We start from the raw sequence: 25,219 nt of genomic DNA on the forward strand, positions 1-25,219 counted from the left end.
TTTCAAATAAATGGAATCATATAATATGTTACCTTTTATGTCTGGCTTCTTTCACTGAGCATAATGTGTTCAAGATTCACCCATACTGTAGCATTATCAGCATTTCATTCCTTTTCATAGCTGAATAACATTCCATTGTATGTATATACTACCATTTGTTCCTACAGTTGCAGGACATTTGGCTTCATGAACATTCATGAACATTTGGCTTTTGGCTATTACGTATAGTGTTGCTATAAACATGCATGTACATATACTTGTTTGAGTACCTGTTTTTAATTTTTTTTGCCTAAATATCTAGGAGTGGAATTGCAGGGCCATGTGGTAATTCTGTGTTTTTCTCTTGGAAGACTCATCAAATTGTTTTCCAAAGTGGCTGCACCATTATCCATTTCCACAAGCAATGTGTGAGGGTTCCTTCCACTTTCTTTACATCCTCAACAACACTTGTTATTCTCTGTGTGTGTGTGTGAGTATGTGTGTGTGAGTTTTATTATAGCCATCCCAGTATGTGTGAAGTAGTACTTCATTGTAATTTTTGACTTGCATTTCCCTAATGATTAAGGATGTTGAGTGTCTTTTCATGTGCTTGTTGCCATTTGTATAACTTCTTTGGGAAAACGTTGATTCAAGTCCTTTGCCCATTTTTTAATTGAATTGTTTGTATTTTGTTGTTGAGCATGAGTTCCTTATATATTCCAGGTTTTAAACCCTTTTCAGATAGATAATTTGCAAATATTTTTTCCATTCTATGGTTTGTCTTTTCACTTTCTTGATAATGTCCTTTGGTGCACAAAAATTCCAAATTTAATGAAGTCCAATTTAGCTATTTTTTTCTTTTCTTTGCTCATACTTTTGATATCATTTCTAAAAACTGATTGCCAGATCCACAGTCGTGAAAATGTGAACCTATGTTTATTTCTGAGTTTTATGGTTTTTGCCCTTTTATTTAGATTGCTGATCCATATTGAGTTAATTCATGTTTATGATGTGAAGTATGGGTCCAACTTCAGTCTTTTGCATGTGGATATCCAGTTCTACCAGCACCATTGATTGAAGACACTATTCTTTTCCCAGTGAATGGTCTTGACACCTTTGTCAAAAGTCAATTGGCCACAGATGTATTGGTTTATTTCTGGACTCTGAATTCTATTCCATTGATCTATATGCCTATCCTTATGCCAGTACCACACTCTTTGAATTACTGTAGTTTTACTTGTAGTAAGTTTTGAAATTGGGAAGTGTGAGTTCACTGCAAGTAGTTTGCAAGGTTAAGAGTACAGTCCAATCCTCCACAAGACTGTCTTTACTTAAGACAACAGCCACATGTTTGGCGGGTCCCCATGCCACTCTTACTTCTGACCAGCTGGCTACAAATTCTGGGATTTATACTACTCCTTCAGGTTAAATAATTTCTAGATGTCTCACAAAACTCAGGAAAGTGCTATACTTATGGGGTCAAATTGGTCTAAAACCTTGAGAAATACAGAAGTGCTGTTGGAGAGCAAATAACAAAAAGTCTGAGACTTATGAAGCAGCTTTCACTGAGTGGCGTCATGTTTTGATGGTGCTTTTACATGCAAGGGCTATGTAGGGCTTTAAGATTTGTTTGTTTGCCTTTAACTTCAGCGGTGTCTAGCTGCCTATATTGGGTCATGTAGTTGAATATACAGCTTTGTAGTTGTATTTTTACAAATGGGCCTGTATATAGAGAATAGGGAAATTGACCTTAAATTTTATAAAATTATTTGCTTATTATAATAAGCAAAGACTACACAGAATTTGAGCTTGATGGGGCAAAGCTACTAAATGCAGCTGGGATTATCTTCCAATAGTCTTGATGTTCAGAAAATGCTGGGATTGCATATGGCATTAGTATACTGAGGTGGGCTGTGGAGGGCTTAGCTCTACTAGCTGATCATGCCTTCCTTACTGTGTAGGCTGCTACTGCTTACTTAACCAAGCTGTGAACTTCACCTGAAACTTCAGGCAAGTCTCAGATTGGGATTACATTATTTTAGGTGTTGCAAGGTGGAACAATATTTGCTGCTTTTCTGTATCTTGAAGGTAAATCTGTAGGCCAGCGCTTTCAAGGATAACGGCAACTGAGTTCTACATGCATGATGGTGAGGTTCTGTCTTTAAATTGTTAATACTGGGCCTAGATAGGAAGCATTACATCTGCTGCCTTCAATTCTACTCTTCACTATGTTATATTAAACTGCATTCTGGGCCAAAAAAGAAATGTGGATGAGATAACATTAGATTCATGTGGCTTGTTGATAAACTTTTAAAGTAACCTCTATCAATCAAAGTAGGCTCTACATTTTATCGTATAAATTTTAACCATGGTTCTAAATCTCATAAACCCAAACTATGGCTTCACCTACAGAAAGGTGATAGATTTTTTTTAACAAAAGGAACACTCTATCTTCTTCAGTTAAGATACAGAAACTATTTGAAGAAAGTATTACAAATCGAGGAATCGGATTCCTGAAGGAATCAAGGAGAAAGTAAAGTGGCTTGAAAATATGCTTAATTATTATGATCAGAATAGAACAGTGTATGCATGAAAATAAGATAAAATAAGACAAACTGATTTAACTGGAGGAGATCAGAAATTTCCCTAGAAAAATGGTACGCATCTGACCCAAGCACACATATTTGACAGATAGGAAAACACACACACACACACACACACACACATACACACACACACATACACACACGCTAAAACCTGAGATCCTAAATGCCAGGTGAAGGAGATCCATTCAAGTCTAATTTCTCTTAAAGAAGTTCTTATAAAAGGGTAAAATATTTCATTTGTTACAAAATCAGAAACAGTAACTGGGACCCAGTGAAACCTATTAGAAGAATAAAGATAAGATCTTGGAGAGCAGACTGAGAACAATCCCCTAGAGGAGACAGTATCTCCAATGCTTAGAAGAGTTGGTATTTACATTACAGATAAATTTATAGTAAGAGCAACTGGGGAATCACTTTTGAGGATAGGACAATTATACAAAGAGTGCACATAAAATCTGGACAAATTGGAGAGAAAGATTGGTATAAAATATTACAAAAAAGTGCTGGGTGAACTCTAAAAATAGATGGGCCTGAGATTAAGGAAAGACAAAGACAAGATTAATTACATTACAGCAAATCCAGGCAGAACAATAATTGATCAAAGACTCCAGATCCAAGTTAGATGTTAGACTGTGGGAGAAATACATCCTGGGTAGGATTATTTAATTAACGGAAGTGAAAATAGGTAAGACTGGTTTGAACAAAGGATGCTATTGACAAACTTAGAACTGATTGACTTCATCTCTCTCACTATGAGAGACTCTGCAAGAAAAATATCTAGAGGCATATGTTAGAAAAATATGAGTATGGACCAGAAAGCAAAAGGAAAGTATTAATAAAAGAAAAGAAGAGACTCAATTGTGGCAAACAATGCTAACCCCAAGCCTGTCAGAAAAGGGAACTTTCTGAAAGGAAGAAGTATATAGTAGAAGCAAATCTTAAACATTGCAGAAAAAGAAGTGCCTGACAGAAACATTAACTGAAGAGCAGGAGCATTAAAAAACTGAGGAAAGACCATGTCCTTAGGAGGAAATGGCAGCAGTGTTCGTCCTCACTGGGACCCTTAGCACATAAGCCTCAGAAACACAAATAGCTGCTTCAATTTGGAAACCCGCCAAAAGTTATTCTACAATTGGAACTGATGTGGAGATGAGGGGGAAACTGTGCCCATGAAGTAAGTTTCTTAGGCTTAAATAATTCCATAGACAGAAGCTGTTACAGCAACCACTGTGATTGAAGATGCCACTCCTAAGACAAGATGGATGCTATGCCACCAGACATTGATCACCCTCAGTTGAGCATGGGGTTTAAAAGCACTGACTCAGAAAAAGAAAAGGAAAGAACATTAAGATGTTTGGAATTCTTTAAAAGGGAAAAATGATACCTCAAATAAGTCTTTATGACTGGTGCTACTGCCAACACAAACTGCCAGATGTTGCAAGAATGAAACACTCTCACTCTCGGTTCCCTAAGAGCGCGGTGGCTCACGTCTGAAATCCCAGCACTTTGGGAGGCCAAGGCAGGCAGATCACCTGAGGTCAGGTGTTCAAGACCAACCTGGCCAACATGGTGAAACCCCATCTCTACTAAAAATACAAAAAAATTAGCTGTGCATGGTGGCAGGTGCCTGTAATCCACGCTATTCGGGAGGCTGAGGCAGGAGAATCACCTGAACCCGGGAGGCGGAGGTTGCAGTGAGCCAAGATCACACCACTGCACTCCACCCTGGGCAACAAGAGCGAGACTCCACCTCAAAAAAGAAAAATAATAATAATAACGCCAATAATGATAAAAGCTAATTTTATACTATTGAAACATTATACCTTATATTGTTTACCAAGTGTCAGGCACTTGTTCTAAGGACTTTACATATATTTCACTTAATCTTTGCAATGTTGTTAAGGTAAATACTATAATTCCTATCTTATAGATAAGGAAACTGACTCTCAGAGAAGCTAAATAATCTGTCCAAGGTCACATAGTAAGTGGCATAACTGGAATTTGAATTCTGGCTCTAAAATCAGGGAACTTAACCAACACTTTGTGCAGCCTCTTTGAGACAGAAGACAGTGTGCACTGGTCAATTTTTCCCTCAAGATACTGTAAACTTATGCTGTAACTAATGCCTTAATGGGAGATTGCTTCCCAAGAAGTTAGGTCACAGGTCATAGAGCCTGGTCAACAGCTTGGGCCGTCTGGCATCTTGGAAAGACTGATGATAATATTTTCTCTTCTCTACCTTCCCTCACTTAGTCTCTGTTATGGTCTTTGGCAGCAGTCATGTGGGTCTGAATTATGCCAAACATAGGGTCCTGGAAACATCATTTTGCATGCAGTGGCCACATTTCCTGGGAGTGGCTACTGTTGTGAATGTGCTGGATATGTTGTTGATGTTGTGATAATCATTTTGTTTGCTTGGAAACAAGGCATATGAAAATGTTGGTGTAGACCTAATTCAACTTCTGAGGTCCTAAGGGATGACACCCACTCCAGGAGCCCAGACGGTAGCTGCTGGAGACATTCCAGCTCCAATCAGGCATCCAGAAGCCATCTGGCTGATACTGGGAAGAATAAAAATTAGGACTTTGATTTCTTTGCACTTTAACTTGAAGAGTTTGAAACTTTATTGGTTTTTAACTCAAAAAGGTACAATAATTTGATCTTGAAATTTGCTTCTGTGTGGACTTTAAAATTTTGGATTTTATTTGAAATTTTATTCTTTTAATTTTAATGTCTCCACAAAAGTTGATAATGGGCAAGAGCTAACATTCAAATTCATCTCTATGTTATTGGAATTTTATGATGAAATATCCTGTACTTAATCTAATTTCAGAATCTCCAAGAAATTTATCAGAGAATATACAAATATTTTGGACAGAATTGCTGGGCATAATTTGGGGTGGGAAATGAAATAGGAAGTGAACATTCAGTATGTCCAGAATGACCTTGGAGTCAATTTAATTAATGTAGTATTCTAACTCATTTCAGAACCACTAGGGTAAATTTAACAGTACTCATTATGATCTAGAAGGGTCCACAAAGAACGAGGGTATGATTATTGGAATGGATCCTTCACAGAAGTCCTAACAGACTAAGGATCTCCTCCCTTGAGAGGGAGAGTGACTCCTCTGGTTCACCATCATGTAATAATTAAGCCAAAGAAGTTAAGAGATCAAAAAGTTTGGAAATGTTAGGAGGAATGAGTGTGTTATTTAAAACCTCCCTCGAAATCAGACACTGTCTACATCTGTCTTCCATCTGAAATGCTTGTATAACAGCAAATAGCTGATATATAATTAGTAAATAGAGGAATGATGTCAAAGTGATACAGAAGTTTGGTTAATAAATATATGCTTTGTCCTAAACAAAGGAAGCCAAAAGGGTAGGGGTAGAATTCTATTCCAAAATAGTTGTATATTCTCTGATAAATTTTTTGGAGATTCTGAAATTAGATTAAGTACAGGATTAATATATTTCATCATAAAATTCCAATAACATAGAGATGAATTTGAATGTTAGCTCTTGCCCATTCCTTAAAGGAAGCCCCACTGGCCCAAATCTCCACTTCACTTCCATCTGCATTGTCTCACACTCTATTGTTTTTGTGCAGCTTTAATATCTTCTAAAGCAGCACTCTGAGATGCCTACCCAGGCTGTTTACATTATCTCCTAAGTTAATCATTATTGTTTTAGGTAGTATTGTGGTTTTAAAGGTTAATAGATTTTTGAATGGTTTTCCCAAACCCTAGTTTCCCCATATCCCTGTTATTTTGGTGGGCGTGATTTTGCACAATGTATTGTTTATGCATAGATACATAATCGGCCTTCCATCTTATTGGGTTCCACATCCCTGGACTCAACCAAGTATGAATGAAAAACATTTTTAAAATAATAATAACAATACAGAAATAAAAATAATACAAGTTTAAAAACAATACAGTGTAACAACTATTTATATAACATTTACACAGTATTAGGTATTATAAGTAAGCTAGAGATTAAAGTAAACAGGATGATGTGCATAGGCTATATGCAAATACTACACCATTTTATATAAGGGACCTGAGCAACTGTGGATGTTAGTATGGGGGAGGCCTCCAGTAACCAATCCCCCACGGATACCAAGGAATAACTGTATATGTACCAGCATGTTGACCATCTGTAGGAATATGGCATTTGTACACAGTAGGTGAGTAGGTGTACTCCTTTCTACTGTAGAAAGGATAGATTTATACAAGAACCATAACAAAATAACTTTTTCATACGTAACAATAAAAATGTCTTTATTAAAATCATCTTCTGTGGTAGAGGTTGAATTCAGTAATGACTTCTTCCATGTGGCCTCACATAAATTAAACTCTCTCATTACTGGAGAAAAAAAAAAGCCAGGCTGGTGGATCATGCCTGTAATACCAGCACTTTGGGAGGCCAAGGTAGGAGGATTGCTTGAACACAGAAGTTCAAGACCAGCCTGAGCAACCAACAGAGAGAGACTCCATCTCTACAAAAATATTTTAAAAAGTAGGCACAGTGGCCTGCACCTGTAATCCCAGCTACTGGAGAGGCTGAGGTGGGAGGATTGCTTGAGCTTGGGAGCTCAAGGCTGCAATGAGCTGTGGTTGCACCACTGCACTCCAGCCTGGGCAACAGAGCAAGACCTTGTCTCAGGAAAAAAAAAAAAAAATTGTCTATGGCTTAGAATAAAATCTAAAAATAAGCAATTTGCCAATCCTGTTGGTCTTTTCAAAGGTTTACTTGACAAACTAAAAGTAGTTTAATATTATATCAAATGTGCTTATTTCTCATAGCATAGAAGGAAAACTTAAAAGTATATCTAATTCCAAAAAAGAAGCAATAGGTAGGAGAAAATTTTTATTTTGTGTATCTGTTGCTTTTAGTCCTTGGTACAATTACACTTCTAATCTGTGCTTATAAATAAAAAGTAATTGCTATGATTTTAACATTAGACATTTTTAAAAGATTTTTTCTGATCTGATACAAAGCAAGAAAAAAAAGTCACATATCGAATCAAAAGAGTATCAGCATTTATTTGTTTAAATTAAAAGATAACTTTCACATAAAACTTGACCTTTCCCAAGTTGAAGTTCAGAAAACCATCCAACACAAAAGTTTAGGGATCTCAATCATTTGATGCACAACATCATAGAAACAAAGAAAAAAGAAGTTCAAAAACCTAATGTTAAGTGACTAGGGTGCTACAGACTGGAAGTTCCTCCAACAGGATTAGCTTCTTTAAATATTTTAAGTCCAGTGAACTTGTAATGCTTCCACATGTTAGTGGTTGCACAGGCTAATTTCAGCTGGCATAAGCTTTTATAAGGATGCAAAAACAGAGGGCAAGGCATGCATTAAAATGTGATAATAGCACACTTCTGGGATACGTGAAGCACGAGTCATGAATCCGAATGCCTCTGGCATCCATGAAGTATCACGTCTCAGAGTCAGTGCTTTCCTGTTTTGATAAGTAATTCTGTTATACCATATTTGGGAGGAGAAAAATAAACTTTCTAAATATAAATCTTTCATCTTAACGAAGATCCCTTATAGTTTCAATTCTAGCAGTTCATTCAAATCTGATGTTTTAATTCCAGGTGAACTGGAAATAATTCAAGTCTAGATAGGGTATTAAGAAAATATGTTGTTTATTTTTATTAATGCAAGTTTAAGAGCAATTTCAAAATATTGTTGATCATAAAGAAAATCTTAGCCAGAGTAATGGAAGAGGAGACAAAAATGCAAGAAAGAAAGAAATCAACATTAATAATGACACTCTTATTAACCCCAAAGAACAAAAGGAAGGATTCTTTGTGTTACATGTTTTACAGGTAAATAACCTTACCTAATCCTTCTAGATAATGGGTAGGTATCTACAGGAGATTTGAAATCTTCAGATAAAAACATGTAATAAAATGAAAAATAGTTATGATATCTAATAAAAACATTTTTTAAAAGGCCAAGAAAAACAAATTTACTTTCTGAATACACACATATGTAATCCTTGGCCAAAAAATTTGAGTTAGAAACAATAAGTATCAAACTATCATAGTTATCATTCAGTAAGTATTAATTAAGGATGATAAATCAAGGAAAGAGTCTGCTTTTATATAGTACAAGTGAGAAAATGGGAAACAAATGGAAGTATCTGCTGTAGCAACATCCCAAAATCACTTCAGTTGTCGGAATCACTACCCTTGCAGTTAAAGGCATGTTATTTAATATCTTGGCCCTCCTCAAGCATGGAGTTAAAGTTTGGATGAAGTTATAGGACCATTTCAATAACATATTTAAACTCACAAATGTGGAATTTCTTTTCAGAGGCTAGCAAAACAAAACAGTATCTCTAGAGATATTAGATGGATATCTAATCTCTTTTGACAAAGACAATGAAATTACTTTAAAGTACATTTCATAACTTTTTTCTTGCCTGAAGATGAGCTACTTTTAATAGTATAACAGTGGAACCAACTAAATGTCCAAGAGTAGATAGTTTAATTCATTCATGCCACATTTATGAGTGTCAGCTATGTCCCAGGAACTGTGCTTACTACTGGTATTACAACAAAGATAGTGTCTCTTCTTGCCCTCTTTTATGTTACATTGTGGTAGAAACAGATCATGTAGGAGAGTGATATAGGATTCATTCAAAAATCCAAGTACTATTTATTGAGTGCCTGTTCCCAGGAAGCCTGTAGCCTGGTAGGAAGGGTGCATACATACAAAAAAGTAACAAAGCAATACAATAATTACATCCTGTATGGAAAGTACTAGGAAAACAAATGGAGTTCTGACATAGACGAGACAGTAAAGTGGAAAGAGAGAGGGAGGCAGAAAGAGAGAGAGAGAACAGAGTACAATGGTTAAACGCTGCTACTGGAGCCAGCCTGCCAAGGTTTGCATCCCAACTCCACCACTTGCTAGTTGTGTGATGTTGAGCAAATTACCTAACTTCTCTGTACCTCAGTTACTGCAATAAATAGGAATTACAGTTTCTCTGAGAACTAAATAAGTTAATGTTTGTGATAAGCTTAGAATAGTGCCTGGTCCAGAATAAGTACTACCTAGTAGTAGAGTTGATAAATGCAAGAACCTAGTGAGTGAATTTCTCTATTGTCAAATTAATTCCTACTCTGTCAATTCTGTGACAAGGGATACATACTTTGAGGGACAATGATGTGCCGGAGCCAACTTGTACCAGTTTGCTAAAACCAATTGTTCTCATCTCTTCTCCAAATACTTTATTCAGTGAGTTAAAACCCTTCCCTCTGAACTCTGCATTCAGTAGTAGCTTCAGATTGGCCATGGTATGAGCACCTATACCATGAAGTTGCTAAATGCTACAAATCAGGGACTTTTTTTTTCAGACCAATTGATAACATTTATCAGCATACTGCTGATATACACACTTAGTAGAGAGTAATGGGTTACTGGAGTTCTTCCTAGTGGTTCCAAACTGAACTACATTTAGTTTGGTATGTTTGTTACATTTCATAACTTTTGAATAAGCTCTAGAAGTTGACCAAAACAGTTTTAAAACATCTATCTGATCATACAGTAATGCAATTTCTCATTTTTGTTTTTGGAAAGCTGTATCCTATATAAATTGGCTGTTACGTTATAAAAATGTATTAATTACTTTTATTTAATTATGGTTTACTAAGGTTAAAATACCCATCAATTTTTTAAAAACTCCAAACTTGTGTTGAAATAAAAGATTCCTAAAATCTTAATGTCCTTTCATGATTTTCCTTTGTATAAGAATATTTATCCAAGTTATAATTAAACTATGTTTTATTATATGTTTTTCTTTTAAATGTTTAAAGTAAAAACAAAATATAAATGTCTTTCAAAATATTATCAAATGGTTTACAAAATCTTTGCCACTTACCTTTTGAAATATCTTCAATTTTTCTGCCATACAAATCATAAAAATATCTGGCTGGTAAATTTAGATTCATTCTTATTGTACAAGTATCTAAAACCTGTGCAGGAAAAAAAAATTATAAATAATTTAGTAAACTGGTTAAATTGAATACACATTTAAACTCTTTTCTATACTACACAGCTATTAAAAATTATATTGTAAAATAAAATTTAATGATTTATAAAATGTTCTAATATATGAAATTTAAAAGCAGTTAAAATTGCTACATTGTACTTGCATGTGTGTAAAAAAACACGTAAGTATTAGTAAAAAAGAAAGAAAGAAGATTCAACAAATATTAAATACTGGTTATCTATTATTTAATATCTATTATTTATCTATTATTATCTATTATTTATTATTATCTATTATCTATTAAATATCTATTATTTAATATCTATTATTTAATAAATGGTAGACCTTTAGAACTCTGAGGGATTTTTATCTTAGTCTTGCAACTTTCTGTATGTTCCATTTATTTCACAATGAGAGGATATTACCATTTAAATTAGATTTTAAGTACCTACTTTCCTTAGCTTTTAAATGTTTTCCAAATGTCCTAAAATAAATAATAAAAACAGTCTGATCACAGTTCACCTTGATAACTTATGTTGTTTGGGTACTAAAAACTGAACTTAATAAATCACATTTCAGGTTTTCCATGAATATGAGTCTCAAGGACTTTACCTTTAATGGTTTCTAATATGCACTCTCTTTTAATATTACAATATCATGACCTGTTCTTGTTATTTTACATGCAACCCTTTGAAACCAATGTGGCAATTATCTTTCCAACTTCAAGGAAGACTTAAACATGCTTCAGCTGGAAAAAAAGTTCTACTCACAAGGTGAGGAAAATTAAGGGAACAGAAGGGGTTTGAGGAGTGTCAGGTAACCTGAGGCAGGTTGTTAATAGGTTTTCAGAAGTAACTTCCAAAACATGAAATTCACCATATTCATCTAAAAATATAAAATATATTCCAAATTGAAATTGAAAGTGCTCTGCCATCCATTTTTGACTATTCCCAGCTATAATATTACTTTCCCATAACCAAGAACTACTACTGAAGGACAATGTGAATTATATTAATATGATTATAGTAAACAGAACATCTTTCAACTGCTCAAACCATCTTTCAGTTGCCGATACTACCTGTCTCTTTTTGCCCACTTCTGTCCCTACTTTATTATTGGAGCCCATAATTTAGTCCTAGCTTAACCAATTCATTAGCTTTGTGACAATGTATGTATTTCAATAGCTTAGTGTTTATATAGAGGCAAAGTTGCACTTTCCTTTCAGCCTGTAGAACAGCTTTCAAACATTGTGACTGATTTGGTTTATATAGTTGCTCTATCAAAAGACAGGTTGAATTTTAAAGGCAAATATTTAACTGACAAATTAATTTGACAAATTGGTCTTTCTTGGGCTGTATGTACCAGAGGTTCTCAGCCTTTATTCTACTCTACTCCTATACATAACTAATCATGTCCCCATGGACCACATGCTCCCATGACCATTCAAAGGGTTGCATGTTTCTTGCACACTAGCTGCAATTCAGAGCATTGAGCAATTCAGAGCAATGTATTGCTGCTATTTTTCTCACAATCAAGAATGCATACCTGCTCATTATTAGGAATAATGTTATAGGAATTTTTTTTTTTTTTGAGATGTAGTGTCACTCTGGTCGCCCAGGCTTGAGTGCAGTGGTACGATCTCAGCTCACCGCAACCTCCGTCTCCCGGGTTCAAGTGATTCTCCTGCCTCAGCCTCCCAGGTAGCTGGGATTACAGGCATGCGCCACCACGCCCGGCTAATTTTTTGTATTTTTAGTAGAGACGGGGTTTCTCCATGTTGATCAGGCTGCTCTCGAACTCCCAACCTCAAGTGATCCACCTGCCTCAGCCTCCCAAATTGCTAGGATTAGAGGCGTGAGCCATCACGCCCAGCCAGGAATATTCTTGAGCTTTCTAACTTATGAGGAAAAGATCATTCGCAACATCAATGCTTTACCTAGTTAAATAAAAAAGTACTTGCAAAGAATGTAACAACCCTGGTGATTCTCTAAATAACCCTGGTTATTCTTCCTGCCTTCTTGTTTACTCTTGTGGGTCAATTTCTTCAGTGACTACTGCCCACAAGTTCACCTAGGACCCCCATCCCATGGACTGAAACCTTTACTAAAGATGCTGGGAAAGCAATGTTGAAAATATAAAAAAGTATCAGGAAAATAAACTGGAGTTTGTCTGTGGCTTGAAACAAAAAGAAGAGTGGAACATATTGACTGACATTGGCATGGGATCCATGCTTGTTTTTATTTTAATACTCTAATTAACACAGTTGGTGTCTGACTGGCAAAATTCTCCTGTCACTGGAGTGAAAGTAAAATGGATCACTTTCACCACCACTCTCATTGACAAAAATACTCAAGGGAGATAATTCAGTACAAATTGCTCCTTAGCCAATCATGTCTGAATACTATTAAGCATCTACAGTTGGTCTCATAGACTGTAAGCAAGACATAATCTCCTCTTTACAACCCCACATTACTTATCTTTCCAGTCCTCATGTTCAGTTCTCAATTTCTTAATATTATGAAGTTATTACTGTATTTAAAAGTATAATGATGTCCTTCGGTACAATTTATATTTCCTAGTTATGAGTGAAGGTTCAAATATCTAAGTATCCTCTAAAGTTACAATTTACCAATTAAACTAAGTAAAACTATAATCTACTTGAAGGTAGTCCCATTTACTTCAACCAAAATTTCAGTAATTTAAAAAAATTATTTTAAATATTGCTGCCTTTGAGTCTTAAAAAAATCAGTCCCTCCTTCCCTCCCGCTGTAGGAGTTCACAGTGTCTGCTGTTGCCATCTTTATGTCCATGAGTACCCAATGTTTAGATCCCACTTATAAGTGAGAACATGTGGTATTTGGTTTTCTGTTCCTGCATTAATTTGCTTAGGATAATGGGCGTCCAGCTGCATCCATGTGGCTGCAAAGGACATACTTTCATTCTTTTTTATGGCTGCATAGTATTCCATGGTGCATATGTACCACATTTTCTTTATCCAATCCACTGCTGATGGGCACCTAGCTTGATTCCATATCTTTGCTATTCAGAACAGTGCTGTGATGAACACACGAGTGCATGCGTCATTTTGGCAGAATGATTTTTCTTTTGGATATATATAACCAGTAATGGGATTGCTGGGTCAAATGGTAGTTCTGAGTTCTTTGAGAAAACTCCTTACTGCTTTCCACAGTAGCTGAACTAATTTACATTCTTACCAACAGTGTATAAGCGTTCCTTTTCTCCACAGCCTTGCCAATATCTGTTGTCTTTTTGACTTTTTCATAATAGACATTCTGACTGGTTACAACACTTTCTAACTCAAAGATTCCCCTTTTCATTGAGCTAAAACATCAGTAAAAATGTCTGTGCAAACCAAACCTTTGTGCAAGTTTTAAAAGTTAAATGAGTTTTAAAACTGGCATTAGAAAATCAAACACTAACATTTAATAATGTATGAGCAACTCTGTCATTCCTTCCTACTTGAAGAATGAAAAATCTTTGCAGTGTTTAAGCAATGCCAGCCTTCAGTAATCATTTTCTCGGAGTAAATTATCAGTGGTATGAATTAGTAGCACTATAAGTTTCTGTCAAAAGCCCTGAAATGAAGCTTCTACTTGTAAGGTCATTCTTATAATTTACAATTGAAAAGTACATTATGGTGTCATCTTGCTGTAATATTAAGGTTAATTAAAATAGCATTTCCACTAATCTGTACCTGTTAAGCTTGTTAAAATATTACTTTTACACATTCACATTTTGTTAATTCCTTTTTTTTTTCTTTTTGAGACAGAGTCTTGCTCTGTCACCCAGGCTGGAGTGCAGTGGCATGATCACACCTCATTGCATCCTCAACTTCCCAGGCTCAGGCAATCCTACTAGGTCTTCAGCCTTCCAAGCAGGTGAGACAACAGGTGTACCATATGACACCCAGCTAATTTTTTAATTTTTGTAGAGATGGGGCCTAGCTATGTTGCCCAGGCTGGTCTCAAGACCCCTGGTCTCAACTGATCCTCCTGCCTCAGCCTCCCTAAGTGCTGGGATTACAGACATGAACCACTGCACCTGGCCTGTTAATTCCATGCAGCTCAAGTTTTAGAAACTCTTCTGATACTAAAATTTTAAATCATCATGCTGTAAAACCAGAATCTTCTTGAAAAGCACCTGGGAAAAAATATTCCACAATGTTTTCAGTTTAATCTACTTGTTTACAGATCTGGGAGTCATCTCCACATCCAGACATATCTATTATAGAGTTTGCAGCTCCTGGAATGGCCAGAACCTCTGGGTTGCCACTACTTCAGTTCAGATGAGAGAGTATACTTAGGCCAACATCACCGTAGGTCATATGAACCAGGTTAATAAGCCATCAGACCCAAAAATGTCAGTTCTCCTCAGACAGAGAACCTTGAAACCTTTTAATATGGTTCTATGAGTTAATGCCTGGAAGCATAAGCCCCAACTTACACTTCCCCAACACACTCTCCTCAAAAGATTCTCTACTGTAGGAGTTAGCAAACTACAGTCCAAAGGCCAATCCCAGTCCATAGCCTGTTTCTGTGTGGCCTATAGGCTAAGAATGGCTTGTACATTTTGAATTCCTAAAACAGAAATCAAAAGATGAATCATACTTTGTGATAGATTTAAACATGAAATTCAAATTTAAGTACTGTACATAAAGTTTCTTGTAAAACAGCCACATTTGATCATTTACATATCTTCTATGGCTGCTTTCATGCTATAACAGCAAGGCTGAGATAGTTGCTACAGAGACCTTCTGGCTTGCAAAACCAAAATTATTTTGTTTGCCTTTTATGGAAAAAGTTTGCATCAACATTCACATGAAGCTCTATATTTTTCTGTTCTGTATAAATTAGCCTGAACTCCTTTATTCATTTCTAAAACTCTTCCATTGTGTACTCTGAAAACATCTCCCCTGATCAACAAATTTGACTAGACCCACAACCTCTTTTAAAAGAAACTAGGCTTTCCCCTGAGGTCACTAACTTCTTCAAAGCGCTCTCAAGTGGTGAGAATTTATTCTCTCCTATCACACAATCTCAAGTTTGGAAAGTGGTGTTACAATGCTATTTCAAGATAATTTCTCCCCAACCCTCTTATTGAACAAAAACAAACAAGCGCTGTCCCCAACACCCAGGATCTTGATGTTCAAGCATATCATCTTCTCTAACTCTAGTCATTCTTCCTCAATCTTAGATAACTTTTACTACACATAGCTTGCAAAATCCTAACTCTGGGCGACCTTCACTTTCCACTCTGTGGGCACAATGAGAGGCCTGGTGCTGCTGGACAAAGTCACACAACTGAACATATCAACATTACTATCATTCATGATCACCAACTTCCATAGTCCCTCAGTACTGCCCAGCCACTTCTATTTCATTTCTTTGGTCAAATTTCTCTCCCACTTTCCACAGAGTATTTCCAACCATCTCTAATCTGCTTACCTCTACCTAGCCTTTCCTTCCCTAATTGCCTCTTCATTTTCAGCAGATGACATGATCTCCTATGTCAGAGAGAAATTTGAAGCCTCATCTTACTGCTATCAAAGCTACAAGCCTACTTATTTCTACAGCCATCCACTCTTTTTCCTTCCAGTTATATTACAAGAGTTCCTGCTCCTATCTAAGGCCAATATTCCACTTATCCTTTCAATTATGTATGCTCTCAGCTTTTAAAGCAGTTTGTATTATCCATCATTTCTTCTCTCTCATGTATATTCATCTACTGCTTCTCAACTAGCCTGTTACCACTGATATTGAAACGTAAGTCTTTTCTATCTTGAAAATTAAATCTCCCCATACCTACCTGATATCTCCCTCTAGCTACTCCTCAACTTTACAGCTAAATGTCTTAGATTTGTCCATGCTCTCTTGTTTCTTTTCCTTTCTTCCCATTCATTCTCAGCCTGTTCCAGTTTGGCTTTTTTACCATCACTTTACTGAAATAATTCTCACAATGATTACCAATTACTACTCTATTGACAAATTCAAAGGACATTTTAAAATTCTTACTTGTTTTGAGCATTGTATTAGTCCATTATCATGCTGCTGATAAAGACATACCCAAGACTGGGCAATTTACAAAAGAAAGAGGTTTAGTGGACTTACCATCCCACATGGCTGGAGAGGCCTCACAATAATGGTGGAAGGCAAGGAGGAGCAAGTCACATCTTACATGGATGGCAGCAGGCAGAGAGAGAGCTTCTGCAGGGAAACTTCTCCTTATAAAACGATCAGACCTCAGGCCAGGCATGGTAGCTCATGCCTGTAATCCCAGCATTTTGGGAGGCCAAGGAGGGCAGATCACGAGGTCAGGAGTTTGAGACCAGCCTGGCCAACATGGTTGATTCCCCATCTCTACTAAAAATACAAAAATTAGCTGGGTGTGGTGGCGGGCACCTGTAATCCCAGCTACTCAGGAGGCTGAGGCGGGAGAATCACTTGAACCCAGCAGGCGGAGGCTGCAGTGAGCCGAGATCGTGCCATTGCACTCCAGCCTGGTTGGCAGGGTGAGACTCCATCTAAAAAAAAAAAAAAAAACCACCAGAGCTGATAAGACGTTTTCACTATCACAAGAACAGCACGGGAAAGACCTGCCACCATGACTCAATTACCTCCCATCAGGTCCCTCCCACAACATATGGAAATTCAATATGAGATTTGGGTAGGGACATAGCCAAACCATATCATTTCACTTCTCAAATCTCATGACCCCTCCCAAATCTCATGTCCTCACATTTTGAAACCAATCATGCCTTCCCGACAGTCCCTCAAAGTCTTAATTCATTTTAGCATTAACTCAAAAGTCCACAGTCCAAAGTTTCATCTGAGACAAAGAAAGTCCCTTCCACCTATGAGCCAGTAAATTAAAATAAAAAGCAAGTTAATTACTCTCTAGATAAAATGGGGGTACAGGCATTGGATAAATACAGTTGTTCCAAATGGGAGAAACTGGAGAAAACAAATGGGCTACAGGCCCCATGCAAGTCTAAAATCCAACAGGGTGGTCAAATCTTAAAACTCCAAAATGATCTCCTTTGACTCCATGTCTCACATACAGGTCATGCTGACGCAAGAAGGGGGTTCCCATGGTCTTGGGCAGTTCTACTCCTGCGGCTTTGCAGGGCACAGCCGCTGCTTTCATGGGCTGGTGTTGAATGTCTGAAGCATTTCCAGATGCATGGTGCAAGTTGTCAGTGGATCTACCATTTTGAGGTCTAGAGGATGGTGGTCCTCTTCTTACAGGTCCACTAGGCAGTGCCCCAGTAGGAACTCTGTGTAGGGACTCACAAGCTGCCAAGGCTTGGGGCTTGCACCCTCTGAAGCCATGGCCTGAACTCTACATTGGCCCCTTTCAGCCACGGCTGGAGCAGCTGGGATGCAGGGCACCAAGTCCCTAGACTGCAATGTAGTATGGGACCCTGGGCCCGGCCCACGAACCATTTTTTCCTCCTAGGCCTCCAGGCTTGTGATGGGGGGCATTGCTGTGAAGACTTCTGACATGCCCTGGAGACACTTTCCCCATTGTCTTGGGGATTAACATTCAGCTCCTCATTATTTATACAAATTTCTGCAGCCAGCTTGAATTTCTCCTCAGAAAATGGGATTTTATTTTCTATTGAATTGTTAGGCTGTAAATTTTCCAAACTTTTATGCTCTGCTTCCTTTATAAAACTGAATGCCTTTAACGGTACCCAAGTCACATCTTGAATGCTTTGCTGCTTAGAAGTTTCTTCCACCAGATACCCTAAATCATCTCTCTCAATTTCAAAGTTCCACAAATCTCTAGGGCAGGGGCAACATACCACAAGTCTCTTTGCTAAAATATAACAAGTCACCTTTGCTCCAGTTCCCAACAAGTTCCTTATCTCCATTTAAGACCACCTCAGCCTGGACTTCATTGTCCATATCAGTATCAGCATTTTGGTCAAAGCCATTCAACAAGTCTCTAGGGAGCTCCAAACTTTCCAATTTTGTCCTATCTTCTTTTGAGCTCTCCAAACTGTTCCAACCTCTAACTGTTACTCAGTTCGAAAGTCGCTTCCACATTTTCAGGTATCTACAGCAGCACCCCACTCTTGGTACCAATTTACTGTATTAGTCCATTTCACACTGCTGAGAAAGACATACCCAAGAATGGGCAATTTATAAAAGAAAGAGGTTTAGTGGACTTACAGTTCCACATGGCTGGGGAGGCTTCACACTCATGGTAGAAGGCAAATCGGAGCAAGTCATGTCTTACATGGATGGCAGCAAGCAGAGAGAGAGCTTGTGCAGGGAAACTCCTCCTTATAAAACCATCAGATCGCATGAGACTAACTATCATGAGAACAGCATGTGAAAGACCCATCCCCATGACTCAATTACCTCCCACCTGGGTGCCTCCCACAACATGTGGGAATTAAAGATGAGATTTGGGTGGGGACACAACCAAACCATATCAAGCATGAACAAATCCTGAGATACAAGAATCCACTATTTTTTCTCCTGCTTTCTTGTCTTCTTCATAGGATCATGCATATTCATTCACTGGGGTTTATCAAGATAAGTTCTAGCCTTCTTTCTGCCCCTCTCTTAAGGCAATCTAAATGGTACCCCAACATTTCATCTTCCATTTACATACCGACAACTCCCAAATTGATATGTTTCTTTTATTCATCAATTCAAAATATTATTGACTACTAATATCTCCCAAGTGCCTGGATATGGCAGTGAGCAAAACCAGCCAGGTTCTTGTTCTCATGGAGCTTTTAGTCTAGTGCTGGATAAAGACATTTATAAAATGATCATATCATTACATGTGGAGTAGGTGGCATAAGGAAGGCTTCTGAGAAGAGATAAACTGGATTTATCTGGAAACAAGTGGAGAATATTGAGAGTGGGGAACTATTTCAGAGAACATAGCATATGAAAAGGCTCCATGGCAGAGCAAGCAGGATGTATTCCAGGAATCGAAAGGTCAGCATATGAAAGGGGAGAGTAGCCTCATAGGAAAGGAAAGAAGCCTTCCTTATGCCACCTACTCCACACACATTTAATGATATGATCATTTCACAAATGTCTTTTTTTTTTTTTTTTTCCGAGACAGAGTCTCACTCTGTCAGCCAGGCTGGAGTGCAATGGCATGGTCTCTGCTCACTGAAACATCTGCCTCCCAGGTTCAAGTGATTCTCCTGCCTCAGTCTCCCGAGTAGCTGGGACTAAAGGCACATGCCACCATGCTAAGCTAATTTTTGTATTTTTAGTAGAGATAGGGTTTCACTATGTTTGCCAGGCTGGTCTTGAACTCCTGACCTCATGATCTGCCTGCTTAAGCCTCCCAAAGTGCTGGGATTACAGGTGTGAGCCACCACACCCGTCTTTATTTTACAAATCTCTTTGTCCACCACTAGACTAAAAGTTCCATGAGAACAAGGCCATGGTTGGTTTTGCTCACCACCATATCCAGGTACTTGGCAGACATTAGTAGTCAAAAAATATTTTGAATTAATGAATAAAAGAGTTAATATATATTATTTCTAATTTAAACTCATTTTAGTATAAATATCTTTTGATCAAGATTCTGATAAGCTAGCAAAAAATTCTGACTGCTTTTATAAAATTATGCTGTAAAGTATGCATAATTCCAGAAGAATTTTTTTCAAATAAACCAATTCTTTTTAGTACCAGAGCACTGACTTTTTGCAAGTCCTAGGAAATAAAATAAGAAAACCTCTTCACATGTGTAGTAACACTGTTGGCTGCCTATCCAATATCCATTCTCCATCCTCATCCTTACTATACTGATTTTGTTTAGGTATACACTCTTTTCCCTTTTGACTCAAGGAAGACTACAATTATCTTTCTGTCGTCGTTGTTGTTGTTGTTTGCTTTTCTGTTTTTTTGAGACAGAGTTTCGCTCTTGTTGCCTAGGCTGGAGTGCAATGGCTTGATCTCGGCTCACTGCAACCTCTGCCTCCCGGGTTCAAGTGATTCTCCTGCCTCAGCCTCCCGAATAGCTGGGATTACAGGTGTGCACCACTACGCCTGGCTAATTTTGTATTTTTAGTAGAGACAGGGTTTCTCCATGTTGGTCAGGCTGGTCTTGAACTCTTGACCTCAGGTGTTCCGCCTTCCTTGGCCTCCCAAAGAGCCACTGTGCCCAGTCTACAATTATCTTGATGTGTCTAAATTACCTATTGTAGTCTCACGCCCCTTGTCAGTGAATGGCTTAAGATAGACACATAACCCAGTTCTGGCCAATGAGACATAAGCAGGGGCTTCTGGGAAAGGCTAATCATTCATAGAGACGAGATGGTCCTTTTGTGCCTCTGTATATAGTTATACCTGGCTGTGCAGCCATCTTGTTACCAACATATGAAAGAGTACAAACTCCAGAAAACTGTAGCAATCACAGCTGGAATTCTGTCATACTATGGTTGGTGCTGCCCTACCTCTGGATTTCTTCCTTCCTTTTTGCTTAAGTCTGTTTGAATCAGGAATCTGTTATTTGCAGCTAATGTCATCCTAACTGACAGAAAAATACATTTTTTGGTCCCATGTTCCTCAAATGATGAAAATCTATTCAGCTAATTCAGTGAGTATTTGTATACCAAATAGATTACAACAGTATTCACTATATAAACCTAAAAAGCAAACCATTTAATTAAAAATCTAGGGAATAATTTTAGATGAAATTTATCAAGCTGAAAATTATGAAAATGAATGGATAATTGTGAAACTAATCATTTGGATTACTAAAAATACTTCACCTTTGGCAATTAATTGTACTTGCTCAGTAGAAGAGAACTACCATTTATTATGATTATTTTGAGAAAGGGAATCTGTTTTTATAGAATTTTTTTTTTTGCTAACTGAAAGGCTGTCAAATAGTTTATGAATTTTCCAAGAATTAAAATGTAATAAAATGCCATGCATAAGTCTCTGCTCAGGCCAGCATTTTACAAAAATGACTTATAATCAAAATTATTATCATTATGTTAACCAGAAAATGCCAGAAGATTGGGCTAAATTTGTACCCATCTCATTAAGTACCTTAAAGGTACTTTTCTGAATAAAATCCTAGAGCTAAATATGCTGGCCTGTTATTTGTCTTATTCTCATAAAGGTAAGTGAAAGAATGTACACCAAATCTAGTTATTTGCTTGCACTAGTAATGAACATAAATATGATTTGAAAAGGCAGCTATTTCTCGTGAATTTGTGTTCTGTGGTGTTTTGGTATTTTATTTTTAGAATGTGAATGAGAAGTAGATAACCAGAGGAAATTTTCTTAAGAATAATTAAATGAACCAGATTACAATTCTAATCATATTATTATTTTTGTTTTTAAAATCTACTCTGTTGATTTATAATGTACATGAAATAAACTGTACCTATTTTAAGTAGGTGCAGTTGATGCAGGTAGAACAATGTATATCCGTATGTAACTACCACAGTGAATATATAGAATATTCCCACCACCTTCCAAAATTCCTCATGTTCTTTTCCAATTACAACTCAATACTCCTGGCCCTAAGTCACCAATAATCTGGTTTTTTTCACTAGAGAATAGTTCGTCTGTTCTACAATTTCATGGCATGTAATATTTTGTACCTGGTTTCATTCATTTACCACAATGCTCGTTCCTTTTTATTGTTGAAAAATAGTCCTTGACATAAATATATAATAATGTTTTATCCATTCACAGGTATATGGACTTTTTTACTGTCTGTAATTTGGCTAATTGCAAATAAAACAACTATGAACATTCACTTAGAAGTTTTTGTGTTGACATATGTTATTTATCTTGGTATATATCTAAAAATGAGATTGCAGGATTGTATTTAAGTGTAAGCTTAACTTTATATGAAAGTATCAAACTGTTTTGCCAAGTGGCTGCGTCATTTTGCATTCTTATCAGCTAAATATAAGATTTGCTATTTCTCCACATTTTCACCTACTTGGTATTGTCAGTCTTTTAAATATTAGTCATTTTAATGTGTGTATAGTGGTAACTCCATGGATTTAATTGCATTTCCTCGATGATTAATAATACTGAGCATCTTTTCATGTGCTAATGGTTGATTTCTATGTCTTCTTAGTAAAATGCCTCATTCACATCTTTTGACTTATTTTTGTATTGTTTGTTTTCTTACTGTTGAGGTTTCAGAAATGTTTATATATTCTCAACCAAAGTTTTTTGTTAAGTACGTGTTTTCTGGATATTTTCTCTCATTCTGTGGCTTGCCTTTTCATTTTTATAATGCTGTATTTACAAGAGCAAAAGTTTTTTGATTCAGACAAAGTATAATCATTTTTTGTTCATATTTTTTGTGTCCTAAGAAATATTTGCCTACCCAAGGTTAAAAAGATTTTCTCCCACGTTTTCTCTGAGAATTAGTATAGTTTTGTTCTTTATAATAAGATCTGTGATCAATTTAAATCAATTTTCATGAATGATTGTGAGGTAAGTTCTTATCACACAGAAATATCCAATTGTTTCAGCAATATTTATCAAAAACACTGTCTTTTCCCCCATTGAATCACTCTATCAAGAATGATTTACCCATGTATGTGTGGGTCTATTTCTGAACTCTCCATTTTGTTTCTTTGCCCTTTATGTGTATTCTTATTCCCATATCATCCTGTTTTGATTATTTTAGCTTTATAATAGATGTTGAAAACAGGTAGTGTAAATGGAATACTATTCCTCCTTTAAAAAGGAGAAACTCTTGTCATTTGCAGCAACATGGATGAACCTGGAGGGCATTATGTTAAGTGAAATAAGCCAGGCACAGAAACACAAATACCACATGATTTCACTTATATGTGAAAACAAAAAAAGTCAAACTCACAGAAGCAGAGAGTAGAATGGTGATTACAGGAGACTGCAGTGGGAGTGGGAGGACTGGGAAGATATTGGCTAAAGTACACAAAATTTCAGTCAGACAGGAGGTATAAGTTCAAGAGAATGATTGTATATCATGGTGACTATAGTTAATAACAGTATATTATACACTTGAAAATTGCTAAGAAAGCAGATTTTATGTATTTTTATGACAAAAAAATGATAAGTATCTAAAGTAATTCAACTGTTAATCAGCTTGGTTTCTCCATTCCACAATGTAGGCATATTTCAAATCATCATGTAGTATACCATAAATACATAAAATTTTTATTTGTCAATTTAAAAAATAAATAACAATAATAATAAATACATACTAAAATACAACTTTTTAAAAGAAATCAGGTAGTATAAATCCTCCAAATTTGCTCCTGTTTAAAACTGATTTGGCTATCTAATTCCTTTGCATTTCTAGCATTTCCACGTATATTTTAGAAATATCTTGCCAATTTATGCCCCTTTCCTCAAAGAAAAGACTGGTTGAATTTTGGTGAGTATTGTGATGACTATATAGATCAATTTGCAGGAAACTGGCATCATAATAATTTTGAAGTTTCCAGTCCATGAACATGGTATATCTCTTGGACCTTCTTTCATTTCTCTCAGCAATTATTTGTTGTTTTCACTGTATAAGTCTTGCACATATTGTGTTAAATGAATAGTTAAGTATTTCATGTGTTTGAGTGTTGTGGTATTGGATTTTTACATTTCATTTTCTTTTTTTTGTGTGTGTGTGTGTGTATATCTCCTCTATTTTAATCCTTTTAAGTTGGCAAAAGCACTATTCCCGATCACAAATACACAGCAGTTCTACAGTTTTATGTTTCTGAATGGCTGTTTAAAGACAATCCTAAATTATTACTTAGTTTGACTTAGATTGTAAAGAGTTCAAGAGTGAAGTTTATAAGACACATGCACACGTATGTTTATTGTGGCACTGTTCACAATGGCGAAGACTTGAAGCCAACTCAAATGCTCATCAATGATAGACTGGATAGAGAAAATGTGGCACATATACACCATGGAACACTATGCAGCCATAAAAAAAGGATGAGTTCATGTCCTTTGCAGGGACATGGATGAAACCATCATTCTCAGAAAACTAACACAAGAACAGAAAACCAAACACCACATGTTCTCACTCATAGGTGAGAGCTGAACAATGGGAACACATGGACACAGGGAGGGGAACATCACACACCACAGCCTGTCAGGGGGTGGGGGGCTAGGCGAGGGATAACATCAGGAGAAATACCTAATGTAGATGACAGTTTGATGGGTGCAGCAAACCACCATGGCACGTGTATACCTAAGTAACAAACCTGAACGTTCTGCACATGTATCCCAGAACTTAAAGTATAATAAATTAAAATAATAATAATAATAAAAGATTATCTGTAATTTTTTATTCTGTAATAGGAATTACATAAAATTATTTCTCAAACATTAAATCAATTTTGCCTGCCTAAAATAAACTCAATTTAAACATAAAAAAACTTGCTATTTTAAAAGCATATGACCTCATAGATCATCTATAAAATGTGAGAAGTGTTAAATAACCTTTGATATTACACATAAACCACACTAAAATTCCTTTCAGTAAGTAAAAGGAACCATTTTAAATACAGGGAATTCTAATTAGATTGGCATAGTTAGGGCCAAAAATATAAAGTAGACGTTGCTACCTTATTTATCTTCAACCCTTGCCTTTA

The 25,219-nt window shown here is 36.5% G+C and overlaps 1 protein-coding gene across 24 annotated transcripts in view; it reads right to left on the bottom strand.

Annotated features, from left to right (window-relative positions):
* Window positions 1-25,219, bottom strand: part of DCDC1 (doublecortin domain containing 1) — a 506,137-nt gene that overhangs the window by 391,413 nt on the left and 89,505 nt on the right. For 22 of the 24 annotated variants that reach the window (NR_170625.1, XR_002957144.2, XR_002957145.2 and 19 more), the window contains one exon: window positions 10,492-10,585. The exons of 1 other annotated variant lie outside the window; for it this stretch is intronic. Coding sequence is in view for 20 of the 23 variants with exons in the window: in XM_024448476.2 (XP_024304244.1) it covers window positions 10,492-10,585 (94 nt within the window). In the remaining 3 variants the exon portion in view is untranslated. Of the gene's footprint in view, window positions 1-7,610; window positions 8,059-10,491; window positions 10,586-25,219 lie in introns of those variants that run through there. One more of the 24 variants, NM_181807.4, reaches the window with a different exon arrangement.

This window comes from Homo sapiens, chromosome 11, assembly GCF_000001405.40.
Source record: "Homo sapiens chromosome 11, GRCh38.p14 Primary Assembly".
NCBI lineage: Eukaryota > Metazoa > Chordata > Mammalia > Primates > Hominidae > Homo > Homo sapiens.